General features: G+C 41.2%; 1 protein-coding gene and 1 long non-coding RNA gene across 2 annotated transcripts in view, besides 3 other annotated features; one reads left to right on the forward strand and one right to left on the reverse strand.

The window, feature by feature from the left end:
• The window catches only part of LY86-AS1 (LY86 antisense RNA 1), a 276,362-nt gene that overhangs the window by 219,548 nt on the left and 29,380 nt on the right, over positions 1-27,434 (reverse strand). The window contains exon 2 of the long non-coding RNA NR_026970.1: positions 3,406-3,477. This is a non-coding gene — a long non-coding RNA (LY86 antisense RNA 1). The remainder of the gene's footprint in view (positions 1-3,405; positions 3,478-27,434) is intronic.
• Positions 19,071-19,180: an enhancer, noted in NCBI's record as "active region_23922". NCBI's record gives its function as "activates an Ori minimal core promoter by ATAC-STARR-seq in GM12878 lymphoblastoid cells {active_cell/tissue: GM12878}" and the evidence as "EXISTENCE:reporter gene assay evidence [ECO:0000049][PMID:35858748]".
• Positions 21,005-21,094: an enhancer, noted in NCBI's record as "active region_23923". NCBI's record gives its function as "activates an Ori minimal core promoter by ATAC-STARR-seq in GM12878 lymphoblastoid cells {active_cell/tissue: GM12878}" and the evidence as "EXISTENCE:reporter gene assay evidence [ECO:0000049][PMID:35858748]".
• Positions 21,105-21,234: an enhancer, noted in NCBI's record as "active region_23924". NCBI's record gives its function as "activates an Ori minimal core promoter by ATAC-STARR-seq in GM12878 lymphoblastoid cells {active_cell/tissue: GM12878}" and the evidence as "EXISTENCE:reporter gene assay evidence [ECO:0000049][PMID:35858748]".
• LY86 (lymphocyte antigen 86) overlaps positions 22,708-27,434 on the forward strand; it is a 66,263-nt gene continuing 61,536 nt past the window's right edge. The window contains exon 1 of the mRNA NM_004271.4: positions 22,708-22,858. Within this exon, the coding sequence (NP_004262.1) occupies positions 22,723-22,858 (136 nt within the window). The 5' untranslated portion in view covers positions 22,708-22,722. The remainder of the gene's footprint in view (positions 22,859-27,434) is intronic.

A 27,434-nucleotide genomic window follows, 5' to 3' on the forward strand; every position in this document is an offset into this window, starting at 1 on the left:
GTGTTATTGAGTGAATGGCACTATCATCAGTGTTTTTCCCTGCCTGTGTTATTTAATTCAAGATCAACCTGGGGCTTCTGAAAGACAGAGATTATTTTGCCAAAGAGTATATTTCCCAAATAGTCATAGTGGAGCAAAAGGTACAAACTTGAGGCCAGTGGCCTTCATCAAATGCAAGTGGACTTAGTCTCCCCCAAACCAGAGCATTGATAATAAGGGCATTACATAACACAAGATAAACATATGAATTATAATTACAGAAGAAAGGAAAACTTCTGCATCCTTTGTTAACATATCTTGATATATTTCATTTAGGTGTTTGTGGCACAAACATACACTTAACATTATGTATTAGACTCAAGGCTAGGCTTTGCAGGTTTTAAGATGAACAACCCAGGGTCCTGGAACTCACATAGTTTATAGTTGGAAAGGTCCACATATAAATACATAATGTTGATAAAGTGGGATCATGCCATAGTTGATGATATAGTTGAATATATGCTATATAATGCTAGCCATATAACTGGCCATAGTGGGAAGGAGTTTGGGATGGAAGCACACCTGGATGGCATGTATTCTAAACAGTCCTGTCCAGCAGAAGCATCTTTGATGATAGAAATGCTCAATGTCTAAGTGTACACTATGACAGCCACTAGCCACATGTGGCTATTGAGCACTAGAAATTGTTTCCTTTTAATCAACTTTAATAGCCATATATGGTGACTGGCTATCATATTGGATATATAATTCTAAAGTAATGATCCTTGCATCTTTAGTATGCATCAGAACCACCTGAAGATCTCAGTTCTGATCCAGTAGGTCTAGGATAGGGCCCAAGAATCTGCATTCTTACAAGCTCCAGGTGACTCTGACACTGCTGGTCCATGGCTCTCACTCTGGGGAGCACCATTCTGAAGGACTCCAGTCCCTCCACAGTCCATGGCAATAAGCCCAGAGCCGACTTCTTTCCTTTGCCACAGGCAGACTTACTATGAAGTGGATGACGTCGACTGGCCAGCCCTCACTCCCATGGCCCCTTTCCAGGACCTATCTGGTGGTGTGGAGTGGCTGAGGGCATTTTGAGGATGATGCTAAAGGGAGATTGGTATTGGGCATCCATTCGATTGGTCAAGAGGGGTATATGTTTGTGATCCCCAGTCACTTATGTAGCATCAATGCTGGGGGTTCTGGTGCAGGAGTTGCTTCTGGGATGGTCCTACCACCCATTCTGCTGACGCACCAACACTGACCAGACAGCTCATGCCTTAGAGTCTCTCCATAGCACCAACCCTCAGAGACCAGTGGGTGGGGTGGGGAGAAACAAGGTTTGGAATGGAATCTGTGGGGAATGTTTCCAATCAGCAGGCTTGTATCATTGCAAGTGGAAGTTTCAGTCCTTACAGGCACCTAGGCAAAATGGAAGTTCTCTCCTATTAGAAATATTGTTGGTGATTCAACTAAAACAATTATAAACAAACCATCTTCTTTTTTCCCCTTTTTGTTAAGAGAATGAATTATTTTAAAAATAATTTCAACTTTGATTTTAGATTCAGGGGCTGCACACGTGCAGGTTTGTGACATGGGTCTATTGTGTAAATAACTCCACCACCCAGGGAGCATAGCACCCATGAGGTAGTTTTTCAGCCCTGTCCCTCTCCCCCTCTCCCCACTCTAGGAGTCCCCAGTGTCTATTGCTTTCATCTTCATGTCCACGGCACCTTGTGTTTAGCTCCCACTTACAAGTAAGAACATGTGGTATTCGGTTTTCGGCTCCAACTTGAAGATTTTTTTTTAGAGATTAGTATAGGAGAAAAGTTGGAAAGCCCTTGAATCTTATAATTACTGTATAAGGGAAACTCAGTAGACATTTGCCCAAATTTGACATTAATCCTGAAAATTTACCCATAACTAATTGGGGAACTAAAAATTCATTTGTTGTAAACTATCAGCAATAATAACAAATTCAATCAACAATGCTAGAGGGAAGACTTAATTATCTTCCTAGCTTCTTTCTAGGAAAATATTACAAAACTTTCATCTGAAGAGAGGGAAGTCAAAAATGTCTAAGAGAAACAAGTACTTAGGAAAACTACATAGAAAACTAGCTGAAATGCTTTTTCGTGTATTTTTCAATGTTTGTGGTACTGGTCAGTGTTTTAAATTTAATAAATTTAATAATATTTAATAATGTTTTATTTCTTTTATCATTTTAAACATTGAATCAAAATATTCATTTGTATTTGAAATTTTATATTTTTTCCCAAGGGGGCCCATCAATTATAAACGTGCTAGGCTCCACAAAACCTGGACTCACCCCTACCCTTCTGCAAGTAATTTTGAAATGAAGCTTCTATAAGCAAAAAGGACTTAGGAAATGCTTTCTTCACTATTGCATTGCCAGTGCCTACCACAGTGCCTAATACACAGTAGGTGCTTAATAAAAACATGTTAAAGAATAAATGAACAGTAAAGCCTATGTTCCAATAGCAGTGAACAATTATCCAAGACAGGGCTACGAGCATCAGGGGAGGTCCCTGGGCGGGTCAGGGGAATACCTATCCTATTCTGTTCCTCCTCATTAACCTGTATTTATGGCCCCTCTGAAGCAATGCTAGGTTCTGAAGGTCTAAAGCTGTATATGCCAATCCCTCAAGGAGCTCTAAACCAGACAAGGGCCCAGAACTTATACAAAACAGAGTGTGACCTCTGATAAATTCCAAGCCATTCTGCTGGTGCAATGGAGGTAAGAGAAGACAGACCCTCCAGGGTGTAGTTGGGAAAAGTCCACGGAAAGTAGCTGTGAAGCAGAGGAAAGGCAAAGAAGTCAAGGAAGAACTGCATGGACAAAGGTGGAGGTGGGAGCCCCGTGACTTGCTTATAAAGGGAAGAGAAGGCAAACCTTTATCCTCCCTGTAAACAAGGAGGCCCAAGGAGCAAGGTGTGAAGACCAACTTTGGGAAAATTAACTCTGAAAGCCAATTCCAGACCAAGGACTTTGACCGCCAACCTAAAAGTAGAAAAGAACATGCACAGGGTTCTGTGCATAGAAAGACCAGTGTGTCAGGTGGGGGTCAGAGCACTTTGTCCCCGTGACCCAGAGAAGGGCTTGGAAAGAGAGACTCCAGGCAGGACAGGACCAAAGGCTATTCCATAACTCAGTCTCAAGGTTGCACAGGCCAGGGCTGGAGAGGCGGTAAGAATGCAAAGGAGGGATGGAACTGAGAAATGATGCAATAAGGGAAGCGTTGGTTTGTGTGTGCATTTGTTTTTTACATGTACTGAATGCCTACTTCGCAACAGATGCTTTTTCATAGACTGCTTCGCTGGAAGCTCAGACATCCCTGGGAAAATAGAAGTCGTCATCCTCGTGCATTTAGAAGGATCGGGGGCTGTGTGCAGACTCACCTCCCGGCACGAGATTCAAGCCAGAACTTCACAAACATTCTTTTCTGGTTCCTCTTCTTTCCACACGCCACACTGAGGATGTGAGGAATGAGACAGAGTCAAGAACAGCTTATAAGTTTGCAGGATGGAAGCTAACGTTGAGTGGAACTCGAAGAGGTCTACCAGAGAGCAGGCTGGGGAGCAAGAGGAGGAATGGCTTGTTTTAAAGGGAATCTTTTGGAGGCAACAGTTTCTATTTGAACAGCTGGAGTACTGCCTCTTTCTCCTTGTTCTCTTAGCCTGACAAGTATTTTGAGCCCTGGGACTTTGAAAGAATCACTCCCCAGCTGTCCCTGACATTTTAAAATCTGTTCCCAGTTTGAATCAAGTGGAGTCTTTAGTCTTAGATATGAAGGCTATTGCAAAAAGTTTGTAGAAAGCAGTTAATTTCCTCTCTTTTTCCTTGCTGCAGCTGACCTGGAAAAAAAAATATTCAATACAAACAGGCTTTCCTCATCTCTAAGGAGAGAAAGTCTAGCAGATATGATTCACAGCCATCAGAAATTTGATGACCTCATATCTGCACTCCTAGAAAGGGTTCGGCTCTGCCATTCACTCCAAAGGGCTAAGCCACCGGCACACCTGAGGTTAAGCCAATAAAACACAGTAATTCCTTCATGTATATGCCCTCCATTTTTGCCAACTGTCTCCAGCTTTGTCCTTGGAGAAAATTCAAACATTTAGGTATGGTCAGGGGAGATGTGCTTGTCCTGTTCAATAAAGGAGTAAATATTTATGTATGTCCACAATTTACATTTTAATAGACATGTTAATTTGTTTAAATATTTCCTGACATATCAGTTTTAACATGTTATATTAATCTGTCAAAGACAACTCACCACAGCAGAAAAACAGCTCCCTTTTGCAAAAATCAAAAAAGCTGATCACTTTCAAATTTTCTCTTGTCATGGAGTAAAAATTAAGGAAAAACAATAATGGTGATACTACACCAGCAGGCTGACTTTGAAGATCCTGCAGGTATTTTTTAAGGTTTGAGAAAATGACATTAAAAATGAAAGAAACCTTTCAGAGGCCAAAGCAGGTGGATCACAAGGTCAAGAGAGCCAGACCATCCTGGCCAACATGGTGAAACCCCATCTCTACTAAAAATACAAAAATTAGCTGGGTGTGGTGGTGCACACCTGTAGTCCCAGCTACTCGGGAGGCTGAGGCAGGAGAGTTGCTTGAACTGGGAGGCGGAGGTTGCAGTGAGCTGAGATCATGCCACTCTACTCCAGCCTGATGACAGAGCAAGACTCCGTCTCAAAAAGCAAGCAAGCAAGAGAAAGAAGAAAGGAAGGAAGGAAGGAAGGAAGGAAGGAAGGAAGGAAGGAAAGAAAGAATCTCTACCTGCTCCAACTAATTCAACACCATTTTTAAATTTTCTTCATAAATTGCACAAGTGCTGTATGGTTATTATTTTAAAAGATACAAATGTTATAGAAGTATGCTACTAGAGCACTCCTTCCCTGCATATCTCAGAATATTGGGCTGTTATGAATATTACAAGTAAAATTTTCAACATACAATGTATAGTATGTATCTCAGGGATCATATAAAGAATCTAGACTGTGTTGTATACAATCTCTCAGGGCTCTCTGCCACTATAAAATGTCCCTGGTATCCTGGGCTCGGCTCCAAGTAGTTCTGAAATGCTTGCCCACAGATACATGAAACATTTTTACCAGACTCAGACAAAACAAACAAACAATAATAATATAAACGTCAGTGTGAGGTTATGAACTGTCCTGATTGTGAAGAACACTCCTTTAGTTTAAGATTGTATCTTTCATCACCTTTTTTTGGTGTTAAACTATCCTTTCTTTTAAAACAATTATAGCAATAGTAGATGGAATTTCTTTTCTAATGGCATTTGTTACAAAATAAAAAGTTAGCAATCCTAGTTTAGCCTCATTTTTAGAAACCATTTTAACAATTTTTAAGTGTAAAATTTAGTGGCATTAAGTACCTTCACAGTGTTGGGCAACCATCTCCATCATTTCCAGAATTTTATTATCACCCCAAACAGAAACTCGGTAACCATTAAACAATAATTTCCCATTTTCCCCTCCCCCAAGTTCCTGGTAACCACCATCCTGTCTCTATGAATTTGTTTATTCTAAGTGCCTCATATAAGTAGAATCATACGATGTTTGTCCTTTTGTGTCTAGCTTGTTTCACTGAATGTAATGTTTTCAAGGTTCATCCATGTTGTAGTATATCATAATTTCACTCCTGCTTAAGGCTAAGTAATTTTTAATTGTATGTATATACCACATTTTGTTTATCCATTCATCTGTTGATAGATATTTGGCTTCTTTCTCACCTTTTGGCTACTGTGAATAATGTTATAAGCATCAGTGCACAAGTATCAGTTTAAGTCCTTGCTTTCAATTCATTTGGGTATACACCTAGCAGTGAAATGGCTGAATCATACGGTAATTCTATGTTTAACTTTTTGGGGGACCACCAAACTGTTCTCTACAATGGCTGCACCTTTTATATCTCTACCAGCATTTGAGAGAATTCACATCCACATCCTTGTCAACACTTATTTTCCAGTTTTTTAAAATTAGCCATCCTAATGGATGTAAAGTAGTATCTCATCATAGCTTTAATCTACATCTCCCTAATGACTAATGATGCAGAGCATCTTTTCATGTGTTATAGATCTTCTTTCTACCTATTCACACTTTTGCCTGTTTTTGAGTTGGATTATTTGTTTTGTTTTTGAGTTGTAAGGGTTTTTTTTTTAATATATTCTGGATATAAATCCCCTATGAGACATATGACTTGTAAATATTTTATCCCATTCTGTGAGTTGTCTCTTCACTTTGTTGATAGGGTCCTTTGATGCACAAAAGTTTTAATTTTTATGAAGTCCAATTTGTCTATTTTTTTCTTTTCTTGCCTATGCTTTTGGTATCATTTCCAAGAAATCATTGCAAATGCAATGTCATGAAGATTTCTCCCTATGTTTTCTTCTAAGTTTTTATCATTTTAGATCTTAAATTTGGGTCTTCAATCCACTTTGAGTTAATTTTTGTATATGTATAAGGTAAGGGTCCAGCTTCATTCTTTTGCATACGAGTATCCAGTTTTCCCAGCATCATTTGCTTAAAAAAAAATACAAAACAAAACAAAAACTAAAACAACTGTCTTTCCCCATTGAGTGGTCTTAGCAGCACTCCTGTTGAAATTCACCATGTATTTGAGTGTTTATTTCTGGGTTCTCTCTTCTGTTTAATTGGTCTATATGTCTATCTTTATGCCAATAACACATATTTTGATTACGGTAGCTTTGTTGTAAGTTTTGAAATCAGGCAGCGTGAGTCATTCAAATTTGTTCTTTTTCTTCAAGATTGTTTTGGATTTTGGGGGTCTCTTGAGATTTCATATAACTTTTAGGATGAGTTCTCTATTTTTGCAAAATATGTCATTAGGATTTTGATAGGGATTGCACTGAATTTGTAGATTGCTTTTGGTAGTATTAACATTTTAACAATATTAAGTCTTTCAGTCCAAGAACACAGATGTCTTTCCATTTATTTATGTCTTCTTTAATTTTCTTCTGAAAATATTATGTACTTTTCAGTGTATAAGGCTTTTGTCTCCTTGGTTAAAGTTATTCCTAAGTATTGTATTATTTTTGATGCTGTTGTAAATGAAATTGATTTCTTAATTTCCTTTTTAGATTGTATGTTGCTAATGAATAGAAACACAGCTGGTATTTGTGTGCTTTTTTGTATTCAGTACCTTTATTAAGTTCATTGACAGTGTGTGCATGTGTGTATGTGTGTGCGCATGTGTATATTTACAGTTTTCTACATATAAGAATGTCATCTGCTAAGCAGGATAATTTTATTTCTTCCTTTCCAATTTGAATGCCTTTTACTATTTATATTGCCTACTTTCTCTGGCTAGAACTTCCAGTACTATGTTGAATAGAAATGGTAAAAGTGGAAATCCATGTCTTGTTTCTGGTGTTAGGAGGAAAGCTTTCAATCTTTCACAGTTAAGTGTGATGTTACTTGTGAGTTTCTCACATATTGACCAAAAGTTGTTTATTTTATTTAGTTGTGAAATCTGCCAGTTACCGGTATAGTGGCAAGATCAGCTTGGGAACCAGGCAAATTTAGGTTCAAACGAAATAATCTTCTAAGGTTTCTAGGGGCTTTTTGTCATGAGGAAGTAATGAGCATCAAACATACCCATCACCCTAAGCAACTGTAAAACTGGATAAAATATACAAAGCAATTATTTTCAAGAATTGGACAACAGGCAGCATGGGGCTGTAATACTTGAAATAAGAGAAATACAAAGTGATGTCCTCAATTATTCTGACTTTCTGCCTGGCACAGGGAAGTAGCACCCAAAACACAGCAGCAGTCTAACTGGAGTGAGAAAACAAAGATTGGAGTTTGGGGATATTCAGATAACTGGATTTTCATGAGCCCTCTGGACTGTTTGGCTAAATACAAAGTTATACACTATGCAGGGCAAAATTCTGCAAAGCCTCACAAAGAACAACTAAAGAAAGGCTGGGAACTGACAGAGATCCTGGAGGTTACTCATTATTGACAGACATTTGAATTTGATCAGCCAGAGTAAAGAGACTGTAGGAATTCAACTGAAACCCAAGAAAAGACACATCTCAGAGACAGAGCCCCTCTTAGCCCTATAGTGAGGATTATTCTAGGCCTACACTAACAAAACCTAAACCAAATTTCAGCATAATCAACCTGAGCTGCCGTGGGTTTACTACTCAAGATTTTTTGCTAACAAGACTATGTTAACAACATTCAATATTCTTTGAGGCAGGTCCACATAATTCAAACTCTCACAATGACCAGCATAGAATGAAAACATTACTAGACACTGTAAAGAAGCAGGAAAATGGAACCCATAATATATCAGTTAATAGAAACACAAAGACATGTCTCATATTGAGTTTAGCTGACAAGGACTTTAAGAAAAAGATAAACATAATGAATGGACAGATGAGTAGTCTCAGCAGAGAAATGGACATTATCAAAGAAGCCACATGGAAATATTGGAACTGAAAACATTATTTACAATAAAAAATATTATATTTTAAATTTCAAATAGAAATTATCCAAACTGAAACACAGAGAGAAATAAGATGAAAAAAAACAGAGCTTAAGTATTTGTGTGGTGATATCAGTCTAACATACAAGTAATCAGAGTCCCAGAAAGAGAGGAGATAAAGCAAAAAAATAATTAAGGAAATAATAGCCTTAAATATTCCAAATTGTAATTCAACTCATAGCTCCAGGAGATTCAAAGAACCTCAAGTAGGATAAACACAGATAAAATCATAGCAAGACACATCGCAGTCAAATTTCTGAAAACCAAAAATAAACAGGCAATTTTAAGAGCAATCAAAGAAAAAAAAACACTAGATGCAGAGGAACAAAAGTAAAAATAATCCTTAACTTCTCATGAGATTTAATGTAAACCAGAATACAATAAAACAAAATATTTAAAGTTCTGGAAGAATAACTGTTATCAAAATTCTATATACAGTTAAAGAATTCTTCAAAAATAAAAAGTAAAAGAAAGACATTTTCAGGAAAATAAAAGCTGAGATAATTAATTACCAGCAGATCTACACTTCAGAAAACATTAAAAGAAGTTCTTCAGTTTGAAGGGAAATAATATATGGAAACTAGGATTCTCACAAAAGAATGAAGAGCACCAAAAATGGTAAACGTAGGTAAATATGAAATCATTTTTTTCCTCATTTGTTTTTTTTTTTAAAGGCAATTGATTGTGTTGAGTAGTATGCCATGCATCATGGCCATCTACGCAAGTTCTTGCGGCATGTGCCAGATTTCAAAGTTTATCTGTCTCCTGATAAGCAGCAATTTCTGTAGCTAATCATGAAGGTGACTAAGTAGCAAGGTAATGACAGTGTAAATACTAGGAAACTACTCCCTTTCTAACGGTAGGAAGACTGGCCTGTTAGCTGCTTTCTGCAATGTTTACTGCTTGTTCAAAACATGCTAGGCACTAGACCCTGAGTTCCTTAGCTTCATCACAAACCCTCTGCTTGTGTAGTATCTATCTGGGCCCATCACATCGCCCATGTGGAACTTAGGGGAAAGAGGAGTCAATGCAAATACTCTGATGCTCATGCTGCTCATTGTTCTTTGAGTAATAAAGTCCTTGGACCCAGGAGTCTCATGTCTCTTGTCAACATCCCTCAAACAGCAACAGGGTACCTATTAGCTTGCAAGTGGGATGAAGTCTCTAAAACTTCACAGTTCTTAATAACTAGTTAAGAAAAAAAATAGTGACAATGTACTGGGAGATTTACAACATATATAGAAGTTAAATACACGCAATAGAATAAGAAATTGGAGTGGTTAAGTGGAAATGTATAATTGCAAGTTTCTTATATTATTGTATTATATTCTAATTATTCTAATAAATCTTATTAACCCATTATATTATATAATTATTGTATTAGTTATATAATTATTACATATATAATTATTGATAATTATATAATTACTAATTGAATTATGTTGTTATAATATATATTTTATATTCTATTAATATACTATCTTGAGAGCAGTACTGTCCAATAGAAATATAATATAAACCACAAATACAAGCCACATATATATCTTTAAATTTTCTAGAAGCCACATTAAAAGCATAAAAGAAATAGAGGAAATTGTAGTATTATATTTAACCTAGGATCTTCAAAATATTATAACTTCAATATGTAATCAACATAAAAAATTACTAGTGAGCTATTTATTTTACACGTTTTACATTAACCCTTCAAAAGCTAGTGTGTATGTTAAACCATCCACACATCTCAGTTCATTTCAGCCGTATTTCCCATGCTAACATAGCAAAGGGCTAGCCTACTGGACAACACACTAGAGCAACCACTAACATAAAACAAGAAGGTATAGTTAAACTGCTAGAGGAGATAAAATGGAATACCGAATAAATACTATATTAATCCAGGAGGAGGTGGGAATGAAAAAAAGCAAAGAGTAGATAGGACAAATAACACTTCTAGGCATGACAGATTAATCTGTTATCTTCTCCAGCTGGAACAGGGTACAGCCAAGGAAGCCGTGGCAGATGGAGTAATGCAAACAAAGACATTTAGTTACAACCCACTAATGGTAAGCTTTGTGAACATGGACAAAAAAACTAATCTTTCTTATCCTGCATTTATTCCTTTACCATAGAGCTTGTTTGCCTGCTAGTTTCTTCACTTGGAGCAATAAAGTGTTATAGTTAAGAAAATGGATTTGGATATTAGCTCTGGATTTGAATCTTGGCTCTGTCATTTTGAGACCTTAGACAAATTACTTAATTGCCCTAAACTTCAGTTTCCTCATTTGTATAATGGGTATTATACAATACCTGCCTCAAATCCCTGTAAAATACAGTGCCTAGCATCTTGGAAGCTCTCAAAAAGGTAAGTTAGTTGTTTCTTTTTATTATTGTTCAGTTAACTAACTCTTAAGACCATGAACTATAGTCCAGACACCATTCAAGACAGAAAGGATTCACGGGTGTATGACAAAGACCTTTTCCTTAACAGAGAAGCCAGACATGTAATATCTGACTGCCTATTTAAATGGCTGTTATGAGTCAGAAATAAAGCAGACAGAAGCACTAGGGTAAAAATATAAATGTTGCTATATAAGTGTCTGTATTATGATGTGTAATCTTTTTCCTTGGCAAAACACAGCAACCAAGCAGCCTGGAAAAATTATGGATATAGTTCTGATCCAGCCATTCTCTCCAAAAATTAGTAGGTTTTAGTCTACCAATGAGTGGGAAGTAAATTATTCTCATTTAACTTTAAAGAGTAGTTTTCTACTTGTTCACCAAGAAGCTCCAATCTTCTGAATCATATTCAACACTGTTAGAAACTACTATTTTGTTGATATTTTCTTCACTAGCATTTTTTAAAGTATTGTGTTCATTCACATATATGTCCCAACCCCTAATTCTAATTTAGACTGAACTATTTCCTAATGAGGGCTACCAGGTGTGTGTGTGTTTAAGTCGTCTGTGTTTATTCTTAGGTCAGGAATTATTTTTATTTACATGTTGTAAGCACTGTATACTTTATTAATAGTTGGCATCATCCTCAGAGTAAACTTAAGTCTCTCCCTCTGTGTATATGTGTGTGTGTGTATATATATATATATATGCATATATATATGGGTGTGTGTATATATATATATATATGCATATATATATGGGTGTGTGTATATATATATATAAAACACTTTGATACATGTTCAATCTTTATCTTGTTTTGTTTTCAAATCTGAAACATGGATTTAATAAGTTTCATTTTGCCGGTGAGTCTGTGACTTGCCAAAGACATAGTAGTCATTAGTGAGACCAGAATGTAGACATAGGTCTGTCTGTCCAACTCCACCCACCTCATGCAACCTCCTTTATATAGTGTCCTCTGCTGGTGAGTGCTTGGGAGAGAGCAATTGTTGAGCAATACTATTTTATATTTGTTCAAAATATAAGAAATTGATGGCCAAGCACAATGTTTCATGCCTGTGACCACAACACTTTGGGAGGCAGAAGTGGGAGGGTCACTTGGGCTCAGGAGTTCAAGACTACAGTGAGCCATAATCACACCACTACACTCCAGCCTGGGCAACAGAGTGACACCCATATTTAAAAATAAAAAATTAAAAAACATATAAGGAATTGGTCACACAAACACAACTGCCTTTACCAAACATTCAGAAGCTTCTCCAGAAGACCACGTACTCCAAGTTGCAGCTAAAACTGCAGCAGCAGTCTACAATCATGTGTTTGCCTTGAAGAGTCGCAACTAAACAATGTACCTGAATTCACCTTTTCCCACATGACTTCCAAGTTAATCATCTATAAGTATAGACAAATCACCCAAGCAAATGCAATACCTTAGATCAAGACTTATTTTTCTTTTTATTTATGTATTATAAGCACTGTATATTTTATTAATAGCCGGCATTATCCACAGAGTAAACTTAAGTCTCAAACAAATCTCATTGTAGGATTTTCTTTACCTGCACCAGATCATAACAATGTTTGTCCAAGAATAAAAAGCACTGTGCAAAAAGGAGGTAACAATAAATGCTGGTTAAACTGAATTTTCATGAAGGTTTAAATTCAGCAATCTCTTACCTTTTGTTTCTTTCCTTTAAATTTGATTTTATAATAGAAAATGGGTAATAGCCTTGCACAGAAATTTACTAAGGAAGAAACACAAATGTCCAGTAATAATAATGTAAAAAAAAATTCAACTCTATCAGTGCTGAAAAAAAAACCCAAGTGAATATAAGGAGAACCAATGTTTAACACTTATCTGACAATGTTTAACAAAAAATACTGTAAAATGATAATGCCTAGCGGCTGATGAGATGGTTAAATTTTTCAATGTATCTAGAAAACAACATAATAGCATGTATCAAACTCCTGAATAATCTCGTAACTCTTTCACGGAGCATTTCCCTTTCAGGTATTTACCAGATGGAAAAAATAATCATAGCTGCACAAAAATATAGCAATAAAGCAACTCTGTAGCATCATCTCCTATTAATTATTTTGTTATCAAGTGTCGACATGTAAAGTGTTTAAATAAATTGTGGTCAACCCATACAGTAGAATACTATGTAGTTATTGAAAGTCAAGTAATGGAAGAATTCTAAGTGACCAATGGAAGTACTATAATGTTATAGCATATACAGTTGGTACAGTATGATTGTGTGTGTGTGTGTGTGTGTGTATGTGTGTACTGGAAAGATATTTCACAAGATGTAAATAAAAGTGATTTCTAGGTATTGAGATTATGGGTGATTATTTTTCCTGTCTCTCCAGTTCCCCTGCCCCACAGAGGAGGGTTAGCTTGTATATCCCCCAAATCCTTCAATTAGAATATACTACTTTAAGAATGAGAAGCAAAAAAAGAGGAAAAAGGAACTGTGATCTACTTTCAGGGGAAGATGACACTCACACTCTGTTAACTTCCTGAGGGCCAGACTGCCTGGGAGGGAAGCCCCTCACCCCACCTTACTTTGCCCTGCCTGCCAAATGCAGAGGTCCAGTGGCCCAGCCAGAAAGACAAGTTTGTGGGGCTGTCCTCATCCTCTATATTTTGTCCATTTAGCCTAAAATATCTTGCGAAATATATATTATGTGCTAGCCATGGGGCACACAATAGTGAGGGGGAAAGAGAGAACGGAAGAGAAGGAAGGAAGGATGGGAAGAAAGTGGGAGGAAGAAAACTTCCCTGGCATATTATGCAGGAGTCTGACCTTCATCAAATGACTGACCCTGAGCCATGCTAGGCAGAGGCAGGGTCACAGGGCTATAGGAGCCGAGTTCAGTGGGAGCTCCCCAGCCCTGACAGAACATCTTTCTTCAGGAAGCAAGCACTGAGTTGAACTCTCAAGGAAGTGCAGGCAATATGGTAAAAAAGGGGTAAGGAAGGGCAGTCCAGGATAGGCACTAGAGATGCCAGGGCAGGGGAGAGCAGGCAGCAAGGCTGGAGTGCCCACAGCCAGGGAGGCTGGATGGGAAGAGACCAAAGCATGCGAGGCCTCAAAGGTACGTGCAGGGGGCACTGAGAGGCTTTGGCAGGGCATCCCTTGGCAGATGCGCCTTCAGACAGGATAGCTCTGGGTGTAGACTGGATAATGGATTTGGAAGGGGGCCATGGTGGATCCCAGGAGGCCATGAGAAGTCCCATCTAGGGCAGTGACACACACGTGGAATGAAATGATGTATTAGTCTGTTTTCATACTGCAATAAAGACGTACCTGAGACTGGATAATTTATACAGGAAAAACGTTTAATGGATTTACAGTTACACATGGCTGGGGAGGCCTCACAATCATGGCAGAAGGCAAGGAGGAGCAAGTCATGTCTTACATGGATGGCAGCAGGCAAAGAGAGAGCTTGTGCACAGAAACTCCCCCTTATAAAACTGTATCTAGTAAAACTTATTCACTATCATGAGAACAACATGGGAAAGACCTGCCCCCATGATTCAATTACCTCCCACAACATGTGAAAATTTAAGATGAGATTTGAGTGGGGACACAGTCAAACCATATCAAGTGGAAATACTATTTCAGTGACTTTGATGGGGAGTTTCCAATCTTACACTTCCAAATGGTAACAAAGATTGAGTGCAGTGACTCACACCTGTAGTTCCAGCTACTTGGGAGGTTAAGCCGGGGCAGGGGGGAGGATTGCTTAAAGCCAAGAGTTTGAGACCAACCTGGGCAAGACAGCAAGACATTGTCTCTAGAAAATAAAACATTAGCCAGGTATGGTGGTGCATGCCTTTAGTGCCATACTCGGGAGGCTGAGGCGGGAGGATCAGTTGAGCCCAGGAATTCAAGGCTGCAATGAACTATGATCACACCACTGCACTTTAGCCTGGGCAACAGAGCAAGACTATCTCTAAAACAAACAAATAACAACAACAAAAACAGTAACAAAAGAAAGCCCAGCTTTTTGGGCAAGAAGTGACAGCTCAGGACCAGGGACATTATAATACAAATTCCGGGTGAGCAGAGGCCACAGCCAATGAAGCACCATTTTGTCTGAAAAGTACAAAATGCTTCCCCTTCCACCCTTTGAACACCTGCTTTGTTCATCAATAACCTTACAATTGCAGCCCACATATCCAAGCTTCAAAGTAAAAGCAGAGAGCTCAATTTGTGTCTATGAAGCAGCGTGCCGTGATGTCATCTGACCCTTTGTTTTCATCTGTGTGCAGTGGAGACAGGAAAGGCACCACTCATCAGACTCCTGCAGGAGCCATCTGCCAAGCCTCTCTCTTCTGAACTGAGTCCTGTTTTCCGTGGCTATTTTACATTTCTAATGAGAAGCTATTATGTATCACATAGGTTCATCCATGTAGTCCCTCACTATGGAGGACCTGGCCCCAGCTGAGTCTGCACACTAGATGACAAAGAAGCTTTCAGCTTTAAGGCACCTCCAGATATCTAGTTTCCTCTAACAATAAAAATAGTAATAAAAGTTACCATTTATTATGATTGATTTTTTATAGGTAAATTAACCTACATTAAGGGAATGTAACTTATGTGACCTACTGATACCACAGAGTAGAGACAAGATGCAGCCCAGGCCTACAAGACCACAAAGGCCATTCCCTTTGAGCCCTCTCCCCTCAGCCTTTCCCCTCTCCCTCCATCTGAGGGAGACAGAAGCTTGGGTGAGACCTGCTTCTTGAAGCTACATGGTCCAAGTCCCCTCAGTTTCCAAGCACTTGGGGATCACTTGTGGGCTATCACTACAGTGGAAGATAAGCAAACCACTGGGCGTAGTAGGAAAGAGGCCGTTTTCTCAGAGGTCAAGAACTGAAGAAGGGAGTTTCACTGTCTGACCTCCAATGGCCCTACTGTGTGTATGATCTTGGATGCGTCACTCACTATGCCTCAGTTTCCTCATCAGGAGAACAAGAATCATACAACAGGCCCAGAATCCTTTCCCTGAAATCCTTCGGTACAGATGTGTTTTATAAATCAGAATTTCTTGATTTTAGAAAGGTAATAGAGTTCACATTTTATAACACTCCTAACGGAGTCTGGTACAGTACCCATTAACCACAAATCAATCACATTAATAGTATGCAGCAAAACATAGTGAAATACACCCAGTTGAGATAAATTAAAACTATAAACAGTCTCATCAGTTTAGATGAGATTTTTCCACCAAAAGAACTACCTTTAAAAAAAAGAATTTCCTCCTCTGTAGACTTGGAAGACTTTGGAATTTATTTCAGAGTTGCAGAGCCAGGGGTTGGGCAGGGAGGTGGGGTAAAGAGTGGATGACAGAGCTGTGTTTACCTTGTAAGGCTGCTGTGAGGATGAAATGGATCAAAGAATACATGGAATGCACTTAGAAGAATGCCTGAGACATAACAGAAGTGCATTTCGGATATTCTTATTCAATCCAAAAAAGAAAAAACACAGGCTACTTCAAAGGCCATTATTTGTATGTCAAAATTACTGCTAGGATGTTTACTACTACAGGGAATTAGAAGACATCTTCAGAAGAATTCTGAACAAGACCTCATCAGACCTCTTCAGAAGAATTCTGGGTGGATCTGCCGGCCACTGCCAGGAGAGGGAACTCAACAACATCCCTAAGAGTCTGATCCAGAGAATAGGTAAATTATTTTATTCCAAATACCACCTGCCAGTCCAGCAAAATGGGATCTCCAATACTTTGGATTATATGTGCCAAGTGCAAATCCCATAATGGCAGCCAGAAATTCTGGAATTAGCCAGAACTGGAGGGACACACTGAAGCCAGAGCCTGGGATCCTATCTACAACAGTGAATGAGGACCCCTTCTTCATAGCACGTAAAAGAACTCTTTGCATTCTTCATCCCATTTCTGGTTCCCTCCCCAGTGTTTTTCCTTCGGCTTACTGAAATCACTTCATTCTTATCAAGATGAGATCTTGAGAGCATTCTCAATTTGAGGAACAGAGTCATAGCTGCAAGTTGCTAATTTGTCCCATGCTGCAGAGGATTTTTATACAATGGTCGTCAGTCCTTTCACGCTAGAGCTCCCCTCTCTGCAGCTCAGAGCAATTTCTTTGACTTTAACCAGATGCTGCAATGTGTTGCTCTTTTCATCACTGGAAAATTGATCGGACTGATCTATAAGTACTCACCTCTTTCCCGGCCCAGCATACGTGTTCCTCACACCAACAAAAACCATTTCTGTTTGTAGTTTGCCATAGTATATGTAGACTTATTTGAAAAGTACTTTGCATAGTATGTCCTCAGAATAATAAAATATTAATAATAATAACAAATGGGGTAACAAGGAAATGAGGAAAGGGTAGTGTCCAAGATAGGGTTATCAATACGTGTTTGCTCCAATGGACAAATTGTAGTAGGCCTAATGAGCTACCAGTCTGGAGCAAATTAAAGAAAAAAAGTTTATTGTATATACACAATAAACAGCCAGCTGAAAGTATTTCAGAACACTTACTCCAATTTTCCTTGTGAAATCCAAGAAGCTTTTCAAAAAGCAGTCTCTTCTTTTATTAAACAATTGTACTAAAAATATTGTCTGTCTTTTCCCACTAAAAGTTAATCTCCCTGAGAACAGGAACTTTGTTTTGCTGTATTCCTGGTGCTGGGAAATGTAAGCATTTTGGAGGTGCTTAATAAATATTTGTTGGATAAATGAGTGGGAGAACCTGAAGCAAGCAGACAGATGAATTTTCCCTAGTTGTGTAGAAAGCATACAGTTGGTTTCTATACATTTCTATCAAATACATATACAGATTATGTGACATCAAGAGCCCAAGAGACTTTGGGGGCATCTCACACTTTCTGTGCAGTGAGTCTTCCAGAAGTCTGAGAGATCGTGAGAAAGACTACTGAAAAGCTTAGTAGGCTGGCATCAATTCCACAAAATACGTGTATAGCCCATATAACATAGGGTTTGAAACTAACTAAAAAGTAAAACCTCAGCAGTCAGTCAAGGGGGCTGTGAAACAGTGTTACACAGGAAGTTGCATGGTTTCCTGACTTCTACACAGGAGGGGAGCAGTTTTCAGGTTGCACTCAATCTAGGACAGCAGTCCCCAACCTTTTTGGCACCAGAGACTAGTTTTGTTGAAGACAATTTTTCCATGGATAGAAGGGTGGATAGTGGGTAGTTTTGGAATGATTCAAGTGCATTACATTTATTGTGCACTTTATTTCTATTATTACATTATAATATATAATGAAAGAATTATACAACTCACCATAATACAGAATGAATGGGAGGGCTGAGCTTGTTTTCCTGCAACTAGATGGTCCCATCTGGGGGTGATGGGGGACAGTGACAGATCATCAGGCATTAGATTCTCATAAGGAGTGTGCAACCTAGATCTCTCGCATGCACAGTTCACAATAGGGTTTGCTTTCTTATGAGAATCTAATGCCACTGCTGATCTGACAGGAGGCAGAGCTCAGGCGGTAATGCGAGCAATGGGGAGCAGCTATAGAGATGAAGCCTCGCTCACCTCCTGCTGTGCTGCCCAGTTTGTAAGAGGTCATGGACCAGTACTGGTCTGTGGCCCAGGGGTTAGGGACCCCCTGATCTAGAAGACAAAGGCAGGATGTGATCAAACCTGTCTCTTCCCACTGCAGTGTGGCAGAAACTCAGACAGGCCACAGAGAAAAAACCAAAGTAGCAGCGCTATGCAAAGGGAAATTTTTGCCTAATATAATAAAGATCTGAGGGAAATGAGAGGAGAGCACCCACAGTCGGATACAAATGATGAGGAAGGTACATTTGCCACTGGAGACAGAGTGCTACATCATCACTGTGTAGCGTCAAGACTAGTTAGGACTGTCTGCCATCTACTGGCACATGTAATGTAGGTTACATTGGCCCAAACCCCCTTTCCCTGACCTTTTGTGGGTCACAGAGTGGAGAGGGCTGTCACATTGCACACTGCACAGGAAGCAATGCAGAATCTGTTCCTAAGGGACCTTTGCTTGTCCCACCTGCTGGCAGGCTGCTTCCCTCCACTCCACAGCAGCCAATCACCTGCTTATCTCTCCTCTCCCCTTCTCTCCTCCTCTCCTCTCCTCTCTCCCCTCCAGGCCTTTCTTTTTTCTCCCCTCACTCCCTGGAGTATTGTATTTTCTCTTGTGGCACAGCTTCACCCTTACTTGCTTACATACATAGCTGGACTCCTGCCCCCAGAGTCTCACATTTGATTCTTTAAGTCTCTCCTCAAACAAACATTTTCTCCTTAAGAACGGCTTTAGGGATGGTCATCTTGATAAGAATATTTTTACTCTGCAAGAAAAGAAAGGCACCGTCCTCAAGAAGACCTCTATGAAAGGAAAGCAAGGGTGGGTGCAGTGGCTCACGTCTGTAATCCCAGCACTTTGGGAGGCTGAGGTGGGTGAATCACCTGAGGTCAGGAGTTCAAGACTAGCCTGGCCAACACGGCAAAACCCTGTCTCTACTAAAAATACAAAAATTAGCTGGACATGGTGGTACACGTCTATAATCCCAGCTGCTTGGGAGGCTGAGGCAGGAGAATCACTTGAACCCGGGAGGCAGAGGTTGCAGTGAGCTGAAATCATGCCACTGCACTCCAGCCTGGGTGACAGAGTGAGACTTCGTCTCAAAAAAATAAAATAAAATTATATATATATATATATGAAGGAGAGCAGTGTGAGACATGGAAGAAGAGGAGGATTGTCCAAAAAGTAGAAAAGAAATCTGAATGAGACCAGAGCACAGCTTCTTCAGCTACAGCCTGCTAAGAGATTAGAAGTCAGCATCAAAGCCTGACAGTATGTGTGTGTTTGGTTACCATTACGTAGACATAACCATATTTTAAATAACTACCATAAACCGATTCTAATTTTATTCTATAATTAGGGAATAGGACATTCTCAAAGAACACTCTGGCTGTCTTTATAAAGGTTCTAGTTAAAGAACTCCAGACATCATTATGGGTTGATTTCTGAACTAGACGGCCATAACTAATGATTTCAATCAAATCCCATTTTCAGTAGGCAGAACTAGTAAGTAGAATTCCTTAGAGAATGTGGCTTACTCTTAATCCTATATGGGTATGTTATATATGTGTTATATAAAATGCCATCTGTCATAAAACAAAACATTTTATTAAGAAGATTTTTTTTAATTGTACATTCTGCAAATGATCAAATTCTGTAAGCTAAACCAGAGGTCCTCAGAATGTGGCCCCAGATCAACAACACTGGCATCACCTGGGAACATGTTAGAAACACAGGTTCTCAGGCCTCACCAGACACACAGGAGCAGAAACTCTGGGGTGGGGTCCAGCAATCTGCATGTTAACAAGCCCCCCAGCTGACGCTGATGCCCTGAAGACCACTCTAGCCTGAAGACCAATGTCCTAGGGTCACCATGATCACAAGGTTCCTGATTGGTCCATTTGGAATATTTCTAAATGCTAGTGCGATCCCTGAATTATGATTCCTTTCATTTCCAGGTCTTTTGATTCTCAAGAATCTGTACCCCTGTCTTCAGATGACACTGTTTCTGCAATAAAGCCAATGTTTGTGGCCCTGCCCAAACTCATATGTTGAAATCCTAAGCCTCAAGGTGATGGTATTAGGAGGAAAGGCCTTTGGGAGGTGATTAGGTCATAAGAATGGAGCTCTCATACATGGGATTAGTGCCTTTATAAAAGAGGCCTAAGAGAAACCCTTCGCCCCTTCCACCATGTGAGGGCACAGCCAGAAGGCACCATTTGTGAACCAGAGGCCCCTCACCAGACACTGAATCTTCTAGCACCTTAATCTCCAACTTTGGACCTCCACCCTCCAAAATGGTGAGAAATAAATGCTTGTCATTTAAGCCACCCAGTCTAAGGTATTTGTTATGGCAGCCAGAACATACTAAGACCATTTCCCTGCCACAGCTGCCCACAGCTCTCTGCTAGGTTTTCTGCTCCCTGCCCTGCACTCCTGGACTCCTCCTCCAGTGTCAATCATGACGCACTTTGCAGGGAAGGAAGTTCTCACCCTCAATTGCTCTCCTCACTCACATATGTTCAGAGCTCTCTTTACAACTGCTGGAGCACTCACATATCCCAAGGGAAAGCTTCTGTGTTCCATCCTGGACCTTCTAGGGGCTACCACGCTTCCACCAGGGCCGCTGCTCTCACCATAAGCTTCAGACTCTCATCTCCCGAGATCTTGCTCACAGCGCAGCTGCCTTCCGCTCACACAGGCCAGAGGGGCCACCTTGTCTCTTCTTAGAGCAACTTCCCACCACTCCCTTGGGGCTCAACCTTCGCTTTATGTTCTGTAAAAGCCAGCAGTTCTCAAACTTGAGACTGCATCAGGCACACCTGGAGGGCTTGTGAAAATCCAGAATGGTGAGTCCCGCCCCCCAGAGTTTCTGATTTAATAGGTCTTGAGTAGCCCAGAATTTGCATCTCTAACAAGCCCCCAGTGGAAGCTGAGGCTGTCATCTTCCCAGGCCGCACTTTGAGAACTGCTGTTGAAAGCCATCATCACTGAACTTATTTGCAGAGGTACCTAAAAATAATCAATCCACAACTGTTCCTTCTCCAAATGACCACTCTCTGATGTCTATCAAGAAATCCAAATTATTTACCAATTAATTTATTGGTAATTATGTTCCACCTATTTCAAAAAAAGTTTTGAGCTAACTCTAATTTTTGCTTAGCCATCAGCAGAAATAGTAAATTTACCTAGTGCATTCAGAAAAATGCTGTTCCTCCCAGGGAAAATAGTGTTTTCTATTGCTCCTGAAATCTGCTGACCTTGGCACTGACTCTGGTCCTCTTACATTAAGGTGAAGCTGGGGCGGGGTTGAGGAATCAAGACTGAGAAACCTTGCTGTCCTGCAGCAGAATAGAGATACATGGAAGAAGGAAGACAGAATCTTGGCTTTGAAGAGAAAGTGAGATGTGATGTCAATGATCCCACTAACACCAAAACCAGCAAACCAGCCTCCTTAAGGGTGGCCCCACCTCCCCACCCTTCCTACTTTTTCTACCAAGCCAAACCCAGAAATAGAACACGGCTCACTTCTCAGGGCTATTGCCTCTGCCTCATCTCCAGAGACCACATCTGCAGCTCCCAAAACAAGGTCTGTTCTGCAGCTGGACAATTCACTGCTAAAATCCCAAACCTAAGAGCAGAGCCAAAGCCAGAGGAGAGGAAAGTGACAATAGGGCCAAAGCCTCATTCCAGATTCCAAATGTCATTCTGTAGCCCTCGTGCTATCAACTGCTGCCTGCTGGCTGCAGCCAGGTCCCTGGGTCCATACACAGCCTGCATCAAGAGCCTGCAGAGACTCGGGGGCTGGAGATGGGAAACAGATGGTGGCCTGCGCTTTGTCTTTCCCAAGTTTACAGCCTCACCTGGGGGTGGAGGCTGTTCTGAGGGGCCCCCAAGAGGTAAGTTCACGCATCACTACTGACCCTCTCCCTGTGAAAGCAGAAAGTCAGCACGCATCCTACCCCAGACCAGACCAGCCACACCTGTAGATTCAAGGTCCTGGGGGAACAGTATTCAAATGCCTCTGCTCTCAGCCTTTTACTTCTGACTGTGGTTCCCAGCGAGTCTAAAATTTGAGAAGTGAAACTGAACATCCAACTGCCTTGGTGAGGGGAGAGGAAGAAATTTTACAGGCTTTTTATTGGCCGGTTATTTTTCTGTGTGTCCCATACAGGCCCCCACCATGAAGGGTTTCACAGCCACTCTCTTCCTCTGGACTCTGATTTTTCCCAGCTGCAGTGGAGGCGGCGGTGGGAAAGCCTGGCCCACACACGTGGTCTGTAGCGACAGCGGCTTGGAAGTGCTCTACCAGAGTTGCGGTAAGCCCTTGCAGTACACCCATGTGTGTTTATGGGGAAAGCAAGGCCCACAGATGTGAGCCGCTAGTGCTCAGTTGGAGTTGGGGTGGGAGGGGAGAGGGGACCAGCAGCTGAACACTTTCTCCACCTGCAGCAGGTCTGGGAGGGCCACTGGGAGCTTTTGGAAGAAGGAGCGGTGGGGCCAGGACTGGGAGCGGAAGAGAATGGCAGAACAACAAAGAGTACAAGAAAGAGAAATTGAATCTAAATATAGCCATTTACTAACACCACAGAACCCAAAAAAGAACAAAATGATCAGTGAGTCTACCAAATCATCAAACCTCACCAGCTGAAAATTAGGAAAAGCAGCTTCCAGTAGGCCCTTCCTCAACACCGTACACCTGGGCTACCTTTCCATCTGATGTACTTTGCAAGTGAAGTGAAAAGATCACTTCTGCCCAAAGAGAAGATTCCTGTCCCTCTCTGGACACTTTCAGAGCTTTCACTGCAGCAGTAGCTCTCATGAATTCAGCAAGCACTTCGCATGCAGCTATCAATGCCAGGGTTTCTCAGTGCTAGAGATAATAAAAGTGCATATGCCAGGCCTGTCACCCCAGCGGGCCAACCCAATACGCCAACAGATAATTGCAATTCAGTGAAGAGAATGCAGTGAACTGTGGTAAGAAGTGTCAGAACCAACCAATCGGGCTGTGTCTTAGTCAGCTAGGGCTGCCATAACAAACCACCACAGGCTGGGGACTTAAATAACAGATTTATTTCCTCACAGCTCTGGAAGCTGGGCTGGTTTCTCCTGAGACCTCTCTTCTTTGCTTCTAGGTGGCATCTTCTCCCTGTCTCCTCATGTGCTCTTCCCTCTGTGTACATCTGTGTCCTCATCTCCTCTTCTTATAAGTACACAATCATATCAGATTAGGGCCCACCTCCATGGCCTCACTTTAGCTTAATCAGCTCTTTAAAGACCCTATCTCCAGCAGGGCATGATGGCTCACACCTGTAATCCCAGCACTTTGGGAGGCTGAGGAGGGTGAACCACTTGAGGTCAAGCATTCAAGACCAGCCTGACCAACATGGAAAAACCCTGTTTCTACTAAAAATATAAAATTAGCTGGGCATGGTGGCACGCGCCTGTAATCCCAGCTACTTGGGAGGCTGAGGCAGAATTGCTTGAACCCAGGAGGTGGAGGTTGCAGTGAGCCAAGATCGTGCCATTGTACTCCAGCCTGGGCAAGAGGAGCGAAACTCTGTCTTAAAAAAAAAAAAAAAAAAAAAAAAGACCCTATCTCCACATACAGTCACATTCTAAGATACCGTAGTCCCCCCCCAGTCTGCTAGGAATACGTTCCAAGACTCCCAGTGGATGCCTGAAATCATAGATCGTTTTGAACCCTACATATACTATGGTTTTTGGACCCAATAAATGAGACAGCTACTAAGTGACGGACAGGCCGGTAGTAGAGACAACATGGATATTCTAGACAATTCGTGTTCCTGGTGGGCTGGGCAGCACGAGATTTCATCATGCTACTCAGGAGGATGCTCAATGTCAAACTAATGAATTATTTCTGGAATTTTCTATTTAATATTTTTGGACTGCAGTTGGCTGAGAGTAACCGAAACCTTGGAAAGTGAAATCTTGGATAAGGGGGCTGTACTGTACTGGGGGTTGGGACTTCAATACATAAATTTGAGGGGATGCAATTCATCCCATACAGGGCTCCCAAGTGGGGAGCAACTCAGGAGCCCAGCCTCAGGATCACATCTGCTGTTAGAGGGACTGGCTTGTGCAAACGCATGGCATTGTGATATCTGCCACTTTGGAGGGAGATGGGGGCAAAATGCCGTTTGAACTACAGGAGATGGAAAAGAGAAGTTGATTAAGCATCTGAATTGGCCTCACTCTAAGCTGGGGAGTGATGAGGATGCAGTGCTTGAGCAAGTACCTGATCCTACAACTGCCACCCAAAGAGCTGCCCAGAGAGGTCCAGATGGTCACTCTAGTCACCAGGGCCATTTGTTCAATTTGACCTCACTTTTAAAAATAAGGGACATTGAAGTGCACACACACACAAAAATTAAAAATAAGTAAAAGAGAATGAACGACTGGATGCTGGAAGTGCTGATCTTGTCACTCTAGGTTTTCCCATGGCGTCAGGACCACTAGTATCCCATTCATTTTCAGTGCAGGATGAGAAGCAAGATGTGAGATAAATGGACTGGTCAGGGTTGGTTTTTCCAATTCATCCTTGCATAAAGGTTGCCACAGCTGATCTGTCTCCCAGACTCACCCTCTGCCTGCAGCCAGGCTGGTGCATCCTTTCAAGTCACTTGCAAGAGGACTGGGCACGTCAGGGAAAGAACAAGGACACATCACCTGCCCACAGGAGGATGGCTCTTTCCTCTGTAGGTGAAGTTTCCCCATGGAGTCAGTGAATGTCTTAGCCAAGCCACTCAGAATAAGAGATGGAAGAGATGCAGTTCTCATCCAAGGGAGTGGGACGATCAGACAATTAAGCAACAGGGTAAATGCTTTGTGTGAAAGGCTGTAGTGAAGGCAGGCATTGTGCACCAGGGACATAGTAGTCAGACGATGGTGAGGTTGGTATCTGGATCTGTTGGAAAAGGAGTCACCAAGCCTAAGTTGAGGCTTAAAGACTGATGAAAATACTAATGATAACACCTCATGTTGGTGGAGGCCACCAGGCTAAGTACTTTACATGCATCATTCTTATGTTGCAGATGTGTAAACTGAGGGATAAAGATGTTATGACTAGTGAACTTTTCCAAGGCCACACAGCTAATAGTGGCAGAATTATATCCCCAGGGTCACAGAGAAGGTAAGACATTGAGGAACTATTGATGGAATTAAAACAAATTGATCCCCAGCCTGCCTGACTCCAGAACCCATGCTCTAAAACTCCCTGTGGTCTAGAGTTTAATCAGCAGGCAAAGTGGACTAAAGGAGGGGTGAGAGGAGAAGTTTGGCAGAGACAATGACATGCGTGAAGGCAGGAAAATGGGACCAGGCACAGGGTTCAGGGAACTGCGGGAGGGCTGAAAACACAAAGGGCTGAAAGAGGAAGTGGAAGACATGAGCAAGACCCCAGACAATGGCGGGCTGCCTCCCTTTGGCCAGGAGGTTGCATTTTGGAAAGATCCTCGGGCAGTAAGCAGGAGTGTAGATTTTGAATTGGAAGCTATTTGAGGCTGAAAATAGGGTTTTCTCCAGGTGGAGCAATAATTCAGGAAAGAAACCACTAAGGCCTAAGTTGACATCATTTCCGCAGTCTTGATAACCTTGAGGAGAAGGGAAACTTCACAAGCAGTTACTGGGCTCTGAATACTGACTAGGAAGTAAGCAGTTTTCTGAAAAAGCAGAAGTCCTGGCCTGGCCAACTGTCAATGACACAGGAAAGAAGAGAGCCACTGTCTTTACTAAAGCAAAAGGAGGAGCAAACACAGTCAGGGCCTTGGGTTTGCTAAATCACGAGTCCCACGGTTACAAAAGCCCAGAGACTCCACTCCATGCACAAACCACAAACACCCACCGATATATTTATTTATATGCTGCCTCCAGCATATACACGAAGATGTGAGGAGATGACAGAAATACTTATGATTGGAAGGGGAAATAAGCAGCAGTGGAAGAAGCAGGGTGAGGGGAAGCATAAGGGAAAGTGCTATGGACTGAATGTTTGTGTCCCCTGAAGATTCATGTTAAACCCTAATCCCAGTGTGACAGCATTAGAAGGTGGGGCCTTTAGGAAGTGATTAGATCATGAGAATGGAGACTTCATAAATGGGATTAATATCTTAAAAGAAGAGGCCAGAGATCTCTTTTCACCACATGAGGACACAATGAGAAGGTGGCTGTCTGTAAACCAGGAAGCGAGCCCTCACCAAGAACCTGCTCCTGCTGGCTCCCGGATCTCAGATTTCAACCCTCCAGGACTCTGAGAAATCAATGTTGGCTGTTTAAGCCCCCCAGTCTATATAATTTGTTAAACCTGCCTGAGTTGGCTAAGGGGAAATCATAAAGGCAGGAGAGGTTAGGACACATGTAACAGATAGAGCAGCATGAGAGGTAAGAGCTTAGAATCTGGAGTCAGCAAAGCTCATTCAAATCTTGGGCAACACTCTAGATCTCATGTTATTGTTTGTAAGGAGGGTGTATTCGTTTCCTGTTGTTGCTGTGACAAATTTCTACTTGGTGGCTGAAAACAACACATGTATTTGCTCATAGTTCTGTGGTCAGAGTCCAAAATCAATTTCACTGGGTAGACAGGGCCTGGGCCTTGCTCCCTTAGAAACTCTGGGGGAGAATCCCTTTCTTTTCTTTTCCAGCTTGTATAGGTGCATTCCTTGGCCTGAGGCTTCTTCCTCCATCTTCAAAGCTGACAGTGTAGCATCTTGCTTCCTTCTATCATCACATGGCCTTCCTGTTCTGTTTCAAAGCTCCCTCTGCCTCCTTCCTGTAAGGACCCTTGTGATTAGGATCATCTCCCCAACTCAAGATCCTTAATCACATCTGCAAAGTCTCTTTTGCCAAGTAAGATAAGATTCACATGTTCCAGGGGTT

This window comes from Homo sapiens, chromosome 6 (genome assembly GCF_000001405.40).
Source record: "Homo sapiens chromosome 6, GRCh38.p14 Primary Assembly".
In the NCBI taxonomy this organism is placed as follows: Eukaryota; Metazoa; Chordata; class Mammalia; order Primates; family Hominidae; genus Homo; species Homo sapiens.